Below are 13,848 nucleotides of genomic sequence, written 5' to 3'. Positions count from 1 at the left end.
ACCAGTGTTCTTGGAAGTTGCTTGGAAATGTGGACTCGATGCATCGGGTGTGACGTGGGCGTGAAGTCATCTGCTGAGCTTCATTTTGTCTCCTCCACCATCGGGAGCGAGGAGGGGGTTTTCCTGCTTAGAGATGTGGAGACTGAGGCGGATGAGGTGAAGTCCTTTGCTGAGATTTCACAGCGGGGCTGGCCAGCAGCAAAGTTTACCCCAGCTGTGCCTGACCACCAACCTCCCTCTCTTTCCAGTCATTCTTTTAGAAGCCACAGCTTTCAGTGAGATCATTTCCTTTCCCAACTTGCACACGGTGCAGGGGAAGTTGGCTGTGGCTGGCCATGCCCTGGACATGGCTGTTCCTGAAAGGGAGCAGGGGGAGCCACAGAGCTACCGCTGCGGGACCTGACCAGCACCCACTCCAACATGGAAGATGCGGGGGTGGCTCAAGATCTCTTCCAGGGGCCATGCAGAGGATTTTGTGGGGCTTCCAGATGATGGATGATTTCTTTCCCCTTTAATTTATACACATCACTTGGAAGTTCCCAGGATATTTATCCAGCAGTCTGGGAACCCCAGGGATGACCAGATTCCTCAGGTCTTTCTAGCAGGACACTCTGGGGCTTGCTGACAGCTCGGCTGGCCATGCTGACCTCAGACCCCACTCTGTGATGGGCAATGGCTGTGATTTGTAACTACGGGCAAGGGTGGTTTTGGGCCTTGGTGAATCCTTTAGGAAAATGGAGTTTCTCTATTTGAAGGGGCTTGGGGTGAGTAGGAGGTTGGGCCCTGTTGGGACAACACTATTTCCAAAGTGTCTTCCTTTTGTGGGGAGTGTAGCTGCCTCCAGGGTCTGGTCCATTAGCTGGGGCTGGAAGCCTTGGTCTCCATAAAGTGCAGGAGAAGTGAAATCCGACCCCTTTTACTTTACTATTATTTTTCTTCCCACCATCAACCCAACATCAGCAGCATGGCCATGCCTGGTCTGGGACTCACAATGGTGTCCACTCCTCACTCCTGGGGGTGCCTGGTGGGTGGGACACCGGGCCTAATCCGCACTCTAGTGGGATTGAGATGCTTTCTCCAGAATCTCTGCCGGAAACTCCTGAGGTGATTCCCCTGTTACTACACATCAAATATTCTCTGGGGCGAATATTCTGGGTTATTGTACTAGCATGTCTGTTGTAAGGCTGGGCTGTGGCTTGGGAAGGGCTGAGGCCCCTCACTGTGTCACCTGCTTCACTCAAGGCTGGAGCTGGGCAGGGGTCTCTCTGTGCAGAGGCTTCTGGGCTGCATTTTGGGAGCAGTGCTGGGGAAGGAGGTTGGTGCTTTCCTTTAGGCTGAAGTTTCATAGCCGACCTCTCCAGACCCTGCTAGCAAGCTCTAGGATCTGTCCCAGCTGGGAGGGCTTCTGTGGCCTCAGGAGAGTGGGTCCCTCATGGGGCAGCTTGCTGGAGGAGTCAGGTAGGGACCTGAGAGGCCACAGCCTAAGCATGGGCTTCCAAAGGAAACAGCCTTTGGTGGCCTCAGGGCCCACACTCCTTGGGCCAGGAGGAGGTGGGGCACAGACTCTCATTTGACCAGGAGGCAAGGGGCAGGGAGGGGGCAGGGTAGGGGGGAGGGTAGGGGGTGCACAGACTCTCCTTGGAGCACGAGGGCTGGGGTGTTATGTTGGGGATCTGAACGATCACCGCCCGGTTTGATGATTCGCTAGGATAACTCACAGGACTCAGCATACAGTGGCTCTCACAGCTGTGGCTTATGACAAAGGACACAGGGCAAAGCCAGCAAAGGCACAAGGTACATGGCGAAGTCTGGAGCAAACCCAGTGGGAGCTCCCAAATCTTCTCCCAGTGCATCACACAGGCTGTGCTTAGTTCTCAGCAGTGAGCTGTGAGTGGAGCTTCCAGAATCTTCTCCTGGTGCATCACACAGGTTGCGCTTAGTTCCCCAGCAGCGAGCTGTGAGTGGAGCTTCCAGAATCTTCTCCTGGTGCATCACGCAGGCTGTGCTTACTTCCCCAGCAGCGAGCTGTGAGTGGAGCTTCCAGAATCTTCTCCCAGTGCATCACACAGGATGTGCTTAGTTCGCCAGCAGTGAACTGTGAGTGGAACTTCCAGAATCTTCTCCCAGTGCATCACACAGGACGTGCTTAGTTCGCCAGCAGCGAACTGTGAGTGGAACTTCCAGAATCTTCTCCCAGTGCATCACACAGGACGTGCTTAGTTCCCCAGCAGCTAGCTGTGACAACACGTGTGAAGTGTTGCTTGTCAGGGATGTTCATTAAGACCTAGAACTCAGGGATTTTACCGGAGGCTGATCATGAAGGAAGCCTCTGTCTGACACGTGCCGAAATTCCAGACTCCTAGAGGAGAGCAGAGGTTCAGCATCAACCTCACTGCTGTACAGACAGTGTAGACACAGGGATCCACTTGTATCTATCCTGGGAATGATCGGGAAATCCAAGTGCCCAGACACCAGCCAAGGGCTCACCTTGCTGACAGCCTTTCTAAGTTGAGCAACGTTTTCTGCAGGGTGAGGTGCTCCTGAGACCGGAAGAGGGTGCCTTGGGGGACTTAGGGAGATGTTCACGGTGGTCGGTGGAAATGCAGGCTCCTGCCCCTGCCTTCCTCTCTTCCTGCTGGGTGAGCCTGCTGACTCCCGCATGGCTTCAATCCTCACCACAGTGGGGACAATCCCCGCCAGATTCCACTGTGCTGCCCTGGGTCTCATGACCTGTTAGACCCTTCTGGGACGCTGCCACTGCTGCCACCTCCCGCACTCAATATTCAGCTGCACCACAGGGGTAGGGCTCAGGCTCGACTCCCTGCAGCGAAGCTTCCATCACTTCCTATGACGTGGCAAATGCCAGCCTTTTCTTTTCAATGCCCTGCTTGCCTAGGACCCGAGTCTCCCTGTGTGAACGTCCTCTCCTTCCCCGATGAAGCAGCTGCAAACCTCAAGCCCTGTCCTGGGTCTCCATCTCTGTGATGGGAGCATCCGTGCCCAGCTGCCCTACCCAGAGGTGGTGGTTAGTGTTTGCTCCCTTGCCAGTCCTTGCGGCCCTAGGTGGTCTCTCCTGCAGTGCTGCCCAAGGGGCTGCCCGCGGTCACCCCTGGCTCCCGGTTGGCTCCGGGGAAGCCTTGGTTTGCAGCCAGGGCTTTGCGTCCCCCAGGAGAGACATGGCTCTAAATAGAGGTCCTCATACTCGCCTGGCATAAAAATCAAGGTTTTCACAGAAGAAAGATTTTCTTTCCTTTTTAAATGTACGCAGTTGTCTACAGAGGTTTTTGGACACTTTCAGATCACATCCAGACCCTGCTGCTCCTACAGCCCCTCTGGCTTCAGGAAGGTTCCTCTGTAGGCTGCCGAGAGTGGTGGCAGTGAGGGTGGGCAGTGGCTTTCTGTTTGCAGGGGTCACTCCCAAGTTTGGCTCAGCACCTGAAGACATGGGTTTCTCATCTTCCCGCGTGTCTTCCCCCATCCTGGTTTCACGACCTCCTTTGGTTTAGATGGGAGGGGAGGATTTGTGGATGCCAAGTCACTGGCTGTTTGGAGCTGTGACATGACCATGTCTACAGCCTAGGGTCTTGAGCCATGCTCTCCCTGCTAAAGGAGCAGCTCCCATTAATGCCGGCTACCGAGATGATGTTAGCTTTAAAAAGTGACTCTGGTGTCTCCTGATCAAAAAAACCTTTTGCCCAGGGTGTGGCCAACATCTGGAGACCACATCTTCCAGCCTCCCTTGCACTTATCTGTGGCCATGTGACTTGCTTCTGACCAATGGGATGTGAGCAGGCATGCAAGGTCTGGGGCACTGGTGTCAATGGAAATTGTGGGTGTGATGCCTCTCCTCCCATCCCACCAACTTAAGTGCAGCTAGATGCCATGAGGCAGCCTTGCTTTACCAGTGGAGACAACACTTTGAGAAGAAATGTTTGGGCAATGACACTTTTTTAGGCACGCAAATCCACGACTGGCATGTGCACACCATTTATCACGGCCAGCACGCACAGCCAGAAGCTGCTTTTTATTCTTACGACGCTTTCCAGAAAACCACCTCTCTTCTTTCGGTGCAGGAATGTCCTTCTCTATTTTCTTTGTACTGCTTTATGCTTCTTCTCTCACTTTCCCCCAGAATCTGCCTGCCTAGTGGTTGGGGCAGGAGGAGGACAGGACACTCAGGGGACACTCTTTGGCAATTACTTTCCAGATGAGCATGATAGTTTCCCTTTCTTAGAATCCTGGGTGGTTATCAAACTCACCATCTGTGGCTGGAGCAGGGGTCTCTGTCTCTGGCTCTGAGATGAGCTGGAGAGTTGTTTCCAGGTCTTGGTCTCTTGAGTAATTTAGGCCAACAGCTAAAGAGTGTGAGCTCTTTTCATTGTGGAAGAGCAAAATTATGATCCAGCCTTAAATATAGACTGAACGATTAATTTTCTTTAACGTGCTCAGGGCCCAGCTAATCACACATCCCTTTTGGCCTCTCAACTTCAAAGCATGCTCCTCCCTCTCTCCCCTCATCCCCTCCTTTATTTTTTTCTTATTCCTTTACATCAGGTCAAGTGCAGGCTTTAGAGAAAGCTGGCTGTTTCCTCCTTTCATAAATATGAGGCCAAACCAGGTTATTCACTTTTCAATTTGCTTTATGTGGATCAAAAGAGTCCATGAAAATTCTGTCAGGATAACAACAAGAAAAAAAACAAAAAACAAAAACCAAAAACCTTTGAACTGACTCTTTAAAAAACTTTCTAACCGGGAGATGGAGTGGAAAGGGAGCCACGTTGGCCTCTGGGTCCCCCTGGCTGCGACCTTCTCTCTCTGTGATGCTGGGCCAGAGCTTGGCGGAGGGGTGGCCTACGGCCTACAGCCCCGCAGGAAGCCTCATCATCTCTGCAAGGCGGTTCAGAGGCTGTAAGGCATGCACTACAGATCCCACAGCAGGAAAGTGCTGCGAGTTCTGCACCAGAACTCAGCGCTGGTCAGCTGACTCCACTGGGCACGGAGGGGCAGCTTCAGACCAACTACAGCTTCCTTTTCAGAGCCCTTCCACGCTGCTGCTCAGAGCAGGGCAAGGTGGCACCTGCGCTCAGGGCTCAGGCAGAACAGCTCTCAGGGGTTCTGGGAGCTCAAAGTGATCCAGTGTCGCTCTGCCTGGGATGCAAGGATATAAGATCCCTGCAGGGCTCATGGTTCTCAGAGGGGTTCTGAGGGCTCATGATGATCCAGTGTCATTCTGTCCTGGGACTCAGGGATCTGAGCTCCCTAAAGGGCTCGGGCAGGATGGTTCTCAGAGGGGTTCTGGGGGCTCATAATGATCCAGTGTTGTTCTGCGTGGGACTTGAGAATCTAAGGTCCCCCTCGCATGCACCCCGAATTCCCGCTAAGCCTCTACTGCTTCCTGCACAAGTGGAGCCACAGTCCCGGGCTCAATGTCTGGGTCTGCACCTGAAACACTGTGGGCCTTGGGCCAAGGATTAACCCTTTGATTCCTTAGGTTTCTGTAACATGTGTATTTTGAGGGTGAAGTGAGGAAAATGTATATAAAGTCTGCAGTAGGTGCACAGTCAGGGGGTGGAAGGCTCAGAAAATGGTAGCTGCTGGGAGGACATTCCTTCTTCTGACTCCTCCTCCTCTCCTCCCCCTCACTCCTCCCCTCACTCCTCCTCCCCCACCCATCAGTGCTCTACCTCCAGGCTTGGCTTAACAAAGAAGAAAGTCTCTACATCTTCCACGGAGCTCTGTCAGCCTCCCTGGCAGGCCCCTGGGTCACCTGCTTGTCCCCACCCCGATGGCTCCTTGCTGAGCACAGCAGAACCTGTGGCTTCCTGCCAGGCTCTGATGCCCTCTCCCTTGCCAAGCTCAGCCTCCCTGCAGGGTGAATGCGGTCTGAGCCTGTGCCGTTGGGTAGTGCTCTCCTGGGCTTAGCCTTGTCTCTGGAGGAAACAGCCAGCCATCCTCTGCCATCCAAGTCACTGCCTGGATCTCCTCTTGCAGGGAGGGCTCTGGGACTGCTTGTGAGGGGCACAGTCAAGGCATTTCATGCCGTGGAGATTGGCGACTGTGGAAAACTTAGACACTGCAGAATCTCTGGGGCTGAGGCTCCTGGGGGCAGCAGGGGGTCTCCTGCCTGAAGGGGTTAAGGTATGACGTTGGAGGAGAGGGCTTGGGACTGGGAGGAAGTCACTGAATTTGCAGGAGTGTTCCCCAAAATACGGCCCCTAGGCTATGCAATGCACTCACCTGTGGGCTTGTTTAAATGCAGATTCCTGGGCCTTACACAGATCTCCAGGTGATGCAGCTGGCCTGCAAACCTATGTTTTTAATGCACAGGCTTTCCCTCCATGCCCTGCCTGGCTGTGCCCGGAATTCTTATGCAAGGCACAGGAAGGAGCTGAAGCAGAGGGCAGGGGGTGTGGGGAGACTTCCAGGGACTCAGAGGATTGCAACAGATCCCCATGGCTATGCTGTTTTCTGCACCACTGGAAAGAGGAAATCTAACCATGGTGGTCGAAGGGAGGGGACGACTTAAACCCTGGGCAGGAGCTGGGGTAGGGATCCCATGTCTGGGGAAATGTTAACCAGGGGTTCATGGATTCCTGAGGGGCTGGGCGTAAAATTCAGATGACTGTGAACTTGGAAGGAAAACAAATTTCATCTTTATTTCTACTAGCTTCAAACTCAGATTTTGCGTTACTTTTGATTCTGAATTGAGTTCCACCATGGTGACTTTTCCCACGGACATTGCAGAGGGTTTTTTTTATCGTGGATGGATGGTGGTTGCAGGCATCTTGGGACTTTGAAATTTTAGTAATTCTTAGATCCTCCAGTGAACTTGCTGCTTAAGATGTTAGTAAAGGAGCACATATATTAACACATCACACATGTATTTAAAAACATTTTGAGTGGCTGGGCGCAGTGGCTCACGCCTGTAATCCCAGTACTTTGGGGGGCCGAGGCAGGTGGATCACTTGAAGTCAGGAGTTCGAGACCAGGCTGGCCAACATGGTGATACCCCATCTCTACAAAAATACAAAAGTTAGCCTGGTGTGATGATGCATGCCTGTAATCCCAGCTACTCGGGAGGCTGAGGCAGGAGAATCACTTGAACCTGGCAGGTGAAGGTTGTAGTGGGCTGAGATCGTGCCACTGCACTCCAGCCTGGTCTCAAAAACAAAACAAAAAAAACATGTTGATGACTTGCAAATATTTTCTACCATTCTGTAGGTTGTCCGTTTGCTCTGATTATTATTATTTTTTGCTGTACAGAAGGTTTAATTAGGTCCCATTTATTTATTTTTGTTTTATTTACATTTGCTTTTGGAGTCTTAGTCACGAATTGTTTCAATCCCGCTACTGAGTATCTACCCAAAGGAAAAGAAGTCTTACATCACAAAGACACCTGCACGAGGATGTTGATTGCAGCACAATTCACAATTGCAAAGATATAGAACCCACCTAAGTGCCCATCGACCAATGAGTGGATAAAGAAAATGTGGGATGTATGTACCATGGAATACTAACAGGCCATTAAAAAGAGTGAAATAATGTCTTTTGTAGCAACTTGGATGGAGCTGGAGGCCATTATTCTAAGTAGAGTAACTCAGGAACGGAAAACCAAATACCACATGTTCTCACTTATAAGTGGGAGCTAAGCTATGGGTAATGGGTATGCAAAGGACACAGAGTGGTATAATGAACATCGGAGACTCAGAAGGGGGAGGCTGGGGGGGGATGAGGAATGAAAAACTACATATTGGGTACAATGTACACTACGCAGGTGACAGATGCACTGAAACCTGACTTCACCACTGTACAATTCATCCATGTAACCAAAACCACCTGTACCGCAAAAGCTATTAAAACAGTGTTGATAACCACTTCAGTATAGTTGGTTGACATTGTAAGGCGACGCATGTTGGGTAATGTGTTAGGAGCATCCTTCTGAGAAGGGCTCGGTAGGCTTCACCTGACCCGCAGAGGAGTCTCTGGCACAAAAAGGCGAAGGTTCTCCCTGGCCATGAATGGAACTAGCTCTCCATCAGACATCACTCCCTTTGGGGCCCGGGCTCCTGTAGCCTCTGCTCTGCATGTAACTAACACCACGTGACATGGTGTCCTACTGAACACTCTGGGTTCAGGGGTCAGGCTGACCTGCATTTAAGTCCAGCCATGTGCCCTGGTGTGAGGTACAGAAACTTCTCAAGCCTCAGTTACTGCAACTCTGAAATAAGGCAACACAAATACCCATCACCCAGGGCTATTGAAGCAGGATTCCGGAGCCTGGTGCACACATGCTTAACTCTAGAAATAGTGTCTGTTTCCTCTTGACCAGTGAAACGGAGACATGGAGGGAGGGAGTCCTCCTGCATTGGAGAGAAAGAGACACAGGAAAGACCTTAAAGGTGATGCTTGTGTCAGGGAGGGGAAGAAGGGCTGGAGGTGGGGGCGAATGTATGGGGAGGAATGTGTGGTCATATGTGCAAAGAAGGACTCTGGATGTCATGGGGCGTGGGCCCACTGCTGTGGGGGCTGCTGCTCTCCCAGGGTAAGTCAGCTCCTACAGACTGCCCACCATGCAACGGCTTTATCAAGAGCGGTCATGGCCTCCATCCACCAGCCCGGCGGCGATGTCCCTGAGAGGGGCACTGGGTGGTGGCCTGGGGCAGCACTCCCTGCTTTGGGGCTCCTGTGGAGGCATGAGAGGGTATCAGCCTTGACTTGATCATGGAAGCAGAGGGATAAGCAGGCTTACACGGCCGGCAGCAGCACCTCACTTCTGGGGGTTTTGATATTCAGTTCCAGCTTGAACCGCAGAGACTTCACAGCCAGTGCCAGGGGACCCTCCACCCTAACACAACCGTGTTCCCCAGAAGCAGGCCCTGGTGCAAGACTTTGGGCACAGCAGTTTATGTGGAAGGTGATCCCAGGAAGCACAGGAAGAGGTGGGGAGAAGAGGCTGGGCGGGGGCAACCCATATAGGGTGAGGTTCCTGCAGGGGACTCCCGGGAAAGGTCATGGAGCACACAGCAGCCGCTGGGTCCTGAGCATGCCGCTGTCAGGCCCTCATGCCCCGAGTGCTCTCTGAGCAGCTCTGTGGGGTCAGTCAGGGGCCTGGAGGAGACCTGCTTCTCATGGAGATGCGGGAGGACGGTGGGCCCAGGGCTGTCCTGTGAGTGGGCTGTGAGCCCACAGTGAAGGCAGATGGTCTGGCCAGCCCACCAGAAAGGGGGTGTCTCAGGCTGCATTTGCCCAGGGCAGACCCCAAGACAGGCTTTGGGATGAAGCATTGGTCTGGAAGGGGTCTCAGGAAGCAGCTGGAGAAGGGGGCAGTGAGGGAGGAAGGGGCAGTGATGGCGAGTGAGGGTGGGAGTCAGCCACCTAGCTCTGTGGTCACTGGGATTGAATCCTGCTGGGGCCTCGGGGGACGGGGAGGCCCTGGGGGAGGCATGAGGGAGCGCTACTCCTGTCTACCCTGGGTCAGGCCCACTCCCAGGGATGTTTGTGGCTGCCTTGTCTGCGGGCAGAGCAGGTTCCAGGTTTCAGAGAAAGCCCCTGGGCAGAGAGAGGAGGTGCTGGCTGCCGGATGCCCACCAGCATCTGGTCCTTGGGGCGGCCCCATCGGCCCCGTGGCTCACTTTCCCTCCTCTGCTTCGGTGGTTCTTCTCCCTGGAGGGCAGGGGAGTGCGCTGTCCTGATCCTGTCTCTTGCTAGCCCTGCAGTGTGGGCAGCCATGTCACCTCTGATAACTGCTCCCCTCACCGGGCTGCTGAGGGGACAACACCAGACAGCACCCGGGGCATGGGTGCTCCACAGATGCCAATCTTGGGTTGTTACTGTCTCCTCTGGGCTGGAACTAAAGAGCCAGTTGTCCTGCAATCAATTTCTGGACCCTCCATGAGTGAGGAAGAGCAAGGAGTGACTGCAGAAGCTGCCTGCGCCTCTGCCTTTAAAATGAGAAGGGAAGAGGATTTCCTAGAAGTGCTTTTGTGCAATCAGCTGCCTCTGGCTGACAGAGGGTGGAGGCCAGGTTCAAAAGGAGAAAGACGTGTCAGAGCCTGGGCCCATTCCCTCCACTGATCCCTGTGCCCTTGGGTGAGTGGGTACCTCAAGTCTGGCTTTTGAAGCCTGATGAGGACTCCACGTGGGAGGGGCGCTTAGGCATTCTGGTGATTCCAGTGCCCGTCCTCTCCTTCTCATGAGGAATTGAGAAGGAATGTGTGTGGAACGCTGGTCCCAAGCCCTGGCCAACCTGCCTGCAACTCCATGTGCCTCCCAGCAGCAGATGGTTAATATCCAGGAAGTGCAGATGAATTTTCACATTAGACCAAATGAGACAGGATGTCACAGAGTCAGAGAGAAGCAATTTGAGAGTTGTTTGCTGTGTTGGACGCTGGTGCTATTCTCTCCGTGGATCTAAGCTGAGGCTGTCTGTGGTGTGAGGGGGTGGCCTGGGGGGTAGTAGGTACTGGAGGACATGCCCCACATCCCTATGACATGAGGTCAGGGTCATGAGTGAGATGTCAACTTCACTGGGATATAGCCCTGAGGTGAGGGAGTGGCTGTGGCCGAACAGAGGGCCCACTCTCAGGCCCCAGCCTTCCCCACTTCCCCGGCAGTCACTGCCAGAGCCATTTCTTGTGCCTGCACTGGGACGGCTGGAGGAGTCTGCTCAGTAACACCCCACCTGCTACTGGCACCATCATGTCTGAGGACTAGCCCCTCAGTCTTTAGATCTCCTTTTCCCTTGAGGTTGTCCCATGTCTTGACCTTCTCTGTGTCCACATCTGTCCTTCTCTCTCTTCAGCCACATTGGAATTTCCATGTTATTCTTATGTGAAACTGTTGGGTCAGTGTACAAGGAGCACAGATTACTAGGTGGCAGTCTCAATATCCAATTCAGTGAAACTATTGTTGGGTTTCTTGGTGGAACATTCTTCCCTGGGGAGCTAAGACCTCCAAAACAGCTGAGCTTAAAGCTGTGTCAATGGGAAGCAAAAAAAAAAAAAAATTGTTGCAGAGGGTAACAAGTGAGAGAAGCTGCCATCACATGATTCTCCAGGCCACATCTGTGTGGATTAGAAACCCGCTCCTGATACAAAATACCGGATGTGTCAAAGCTAGTCAGGAAACCAGAACTCAAACACACCATTCTAATACAAAGACTCTAAAATAAGGAAATGGTCAAGCAGATGTTGGCACCAGGAAGAGCATGTAGTGCCCAGCTGGGCATTTCAGGCTGTGTGGTGGGGAACATTGTCCTGAGACCTCCAGCATAACCAGTCACTGTGCTTATTTCACTGACTTAAGGCACAACTAGAGAGTCAGGGTGTCACCTGAGCATCTGCTCTCTTGTTAGATTAGCTGGGAGTGGTCTTCCACTTGAGTTCAACCCAATCCTAGTGTTAATAGCTGTTGTTTATTGAGCACTGACTCTGTGCCCAGTATTGCATTCCCATATTTCCATCAACAGCCTTAAAGAGAAGGCACTACTGCCCCGATCTGAGGAGAGGCAAAGCAGAAGAGGCAGAGCTGGTTTGTGGGGCACTGGAGCAGGAGGCACAGGTGGCTTTCAGAGGGCCTGGCAAGGTAGGTGTGTGTGCTGAACAGACGTTAAGATGGCTCAGGACCTCCTCCTGGTGGTCACGTCTGTGTGTGGTCCTCTCCCCTGAAAGCGGATGAGACCTGTGCCTTGCTTCTAACTAGAATACACAAAAGTGATGGCATGTCACTCCTGTGATTATGTTACATTATTTATTTAAGACTGTCTTGCTAGCAGACTTGCTCTCTTCTCAGTTGCTGGATTTGGGGAAGCAACCTGCCACGAGGTGAGAAGGCCTATAGAGAGGGGGCTGCCTGGCAGGGGACTGCAGACAGCCTCTAGGGCCTGACAGTGGCCTCCAGCTGATAGCATGAAGCCAGGCCCCTCAGTCTTACAGATGCAATGAAATGCATTCTGCTGACACCCCGAGGGAGCTTGGAAGTGGATCCTTTCCCAGTCCAGCCTCTGATGAGACTGCAGCCCTGGCCACTGCTGGGCTGCTGCCTGGTGAGACCCTGAGCAGAGGGTGCAGGTGAGCCCGGGCCAGACTCCTAACGTGCAGAAACTGTGTGGTGACCATGTGCGTTGTTCTCAGCTGCTAAGCTTGTGGTGACTTGTGCTGCTATAGATAACTAAGATGGTGTTCAATTAAAGGGAGTGCAAGGAGTCAATGAACAGGTACATGAAGAATCCTGGCAGTCCTTAGCATTTCTGAGCTCCTTGGGAAAGGAGGTGTGAGGCTGAGAGAACTGGAGGGCTAGGGGGAACCAGACTCAGTAGTGGGATTTTGTTCAGGCTGGTCCTTCTGCCAGAGGTGGCCTGTGTGGATGGCGGGAAGTCAGCTGCTGGGGCTGGAGTTGGCTATATGCCTTAAGTGCATTTTACTCTGTTTCTCTTGGCACCAGAGATTTCATTAACCATAATCCATTCTTTGGGCTCTTAAGATTTTCTCTGTCTTAAGCGTCACCCATCATTAGTCAGAAGTGGTAGAATTTGGAGTAATTCACTAGACAGTTTTAGAGAAACCACTCAGTGCCAGGAGACAGCATGGGCAGCAGCGAGTAAAATGCGGGTCTTCGTGCCCATGGCTTAGACCTCAGTAGTCGAGACAGATGCAAGAACCAGCAACTGTAGTACACCAGGGGCGGGAGGCCTGAGCGGTGGGCCAGAAGAGGAAGGAGCTCTCCACCTGGGCAGGGGGAAGGAGGGAGGGCTCCCTAAGTGCACTCCAAACCACGTAGGATCATGTGATTGCTGTGGCCTTTAAGAGGGAGCAGGATGTTCTGGGTAGAGGAAAAAGAGTGTCTCGGCTGCATTAGGAGGGAGCCCTGCTGAGCTCACAGCCTGGCCCTGGTCTCATCCTGACCTCCGCAGCCTAGGGAGGCCCCACCTGGTGTGAGTCAAGCGTCAGGGCTGGAGCACCCACCAGGGGGTGATGTGGTCCAGTTACTGTCTCCAGGACTGTCCCTGGTCCTTGGGGAGGCCCTGTGGCCACTGAGGGGACACTGCCCCATGCCCTGTTACAGCCCAGGCCAGCCTCTTCTCCAGGAACCCTGGCCTCTCCTAGAAAGGCTAGCCCAGAATCAAGCGTGAGATGGGCTGAGAGGCAGGGGAGGGGAGTCCTTTCAGGACACTAAAATAGAGCTGCGATTGTAGGTGAACTTCATTTCAATCCATTAAAGCCAAGGGGAGATAGAGTTTTTCCCTTTGACTTTGCCAAGCAATGGAACATGAGTGGCCCAGCCTCCTGATCTGAAGCAGAGCAAAACATTTCTGGGAAAATAAACAAACGCGGACCAAAAAAAAAGATGCTCATGTGTCTGAGCCAGCAGCGAGCCTTTGATCAGGTTGCTCCGAGGGACCAAAAGAGGGGGACTGATGGACCCTGGCAACAGGATGAGGCAGACTCTGTTAGAGGCTGCCCAAAGTCACACGCAGCGTTTATAGAGGCTGCAGGAGGAGAGACGGCAGCCTGGGAAAGGGACCAGACTAGGGCTTGGTAGAAAGACATGCACCGTGCTGCCGACGTTGGCAGTGCTGCACAGAAATGCCTGCTCCTTTCCGCTTTCTTTTCTCTTTTATTAATTTTATATTTCAGGCATTGTTTAATGGTGAATTTGTCTTTTTCTTGAAGATTCTCTTGGCCTCCTGCTCATTGGTTTGGCAGGACACCTGGCTTTTGGAAGAATGACCATTTTGCTGTACAGTCTGGTGTGGCTCAGAAGCCATGTTAATGATTTTTTTTTTTAAAGATGGAGGAAGAAGGTGTGCTGGGATGTGGGAGGGGTGAGGAAAGGAAAGGCTGAGAGTGG

The 13,848-nt window shown here is 52.8% G+C and overlaps 2 annotated features.

The window, feature by feature from the left end:
* Positions 5,929-6,430: an enhancer, noted in NCBI's record as "H3K4me1 hESC enhancer chr20:24770113-24770614 (GRCh37/hg19 assembly coordinates)". NCBI's record gives its function as "activates a minimal SCP1, AML or CMV promoter by ChIP-STARR-seq in naive H9 embryonic stem cells {active_cell/tissue: H9 hESC(naive)}" and the evidence as "EXISTENCE:reporter gene assay evidence [ECO:0000049][PMID:30033119]".
* Positions 11,663-11,732: an enhancer, noted in NCBI's record as "active region_17646". NCBI's record gives its function as "activates an Ori minimal core promoter by ATAC-STARR-seq in GM12878 lymphoblastoid cells {active_cell/tissue: GM12878}" and the evidence as "EXISTENCE:reporter gene assay evidence [ECO:0000049][PMID:35858748]".

Source organism: Homo sapiens, chromosome 20 (assembly GCF_000001405.40).
Source record: "Homo sapiens chromosome 20, GRCh38.p14 Primary Assembly".
NCBI lineage: Eukaryota > Metazoa > Chordata > Mammalia > Primates > Hominidae > Homo > Homo sapiens.
This window is presented reverse-complemented; position numbering and strand designations above follow the sequence as displayed.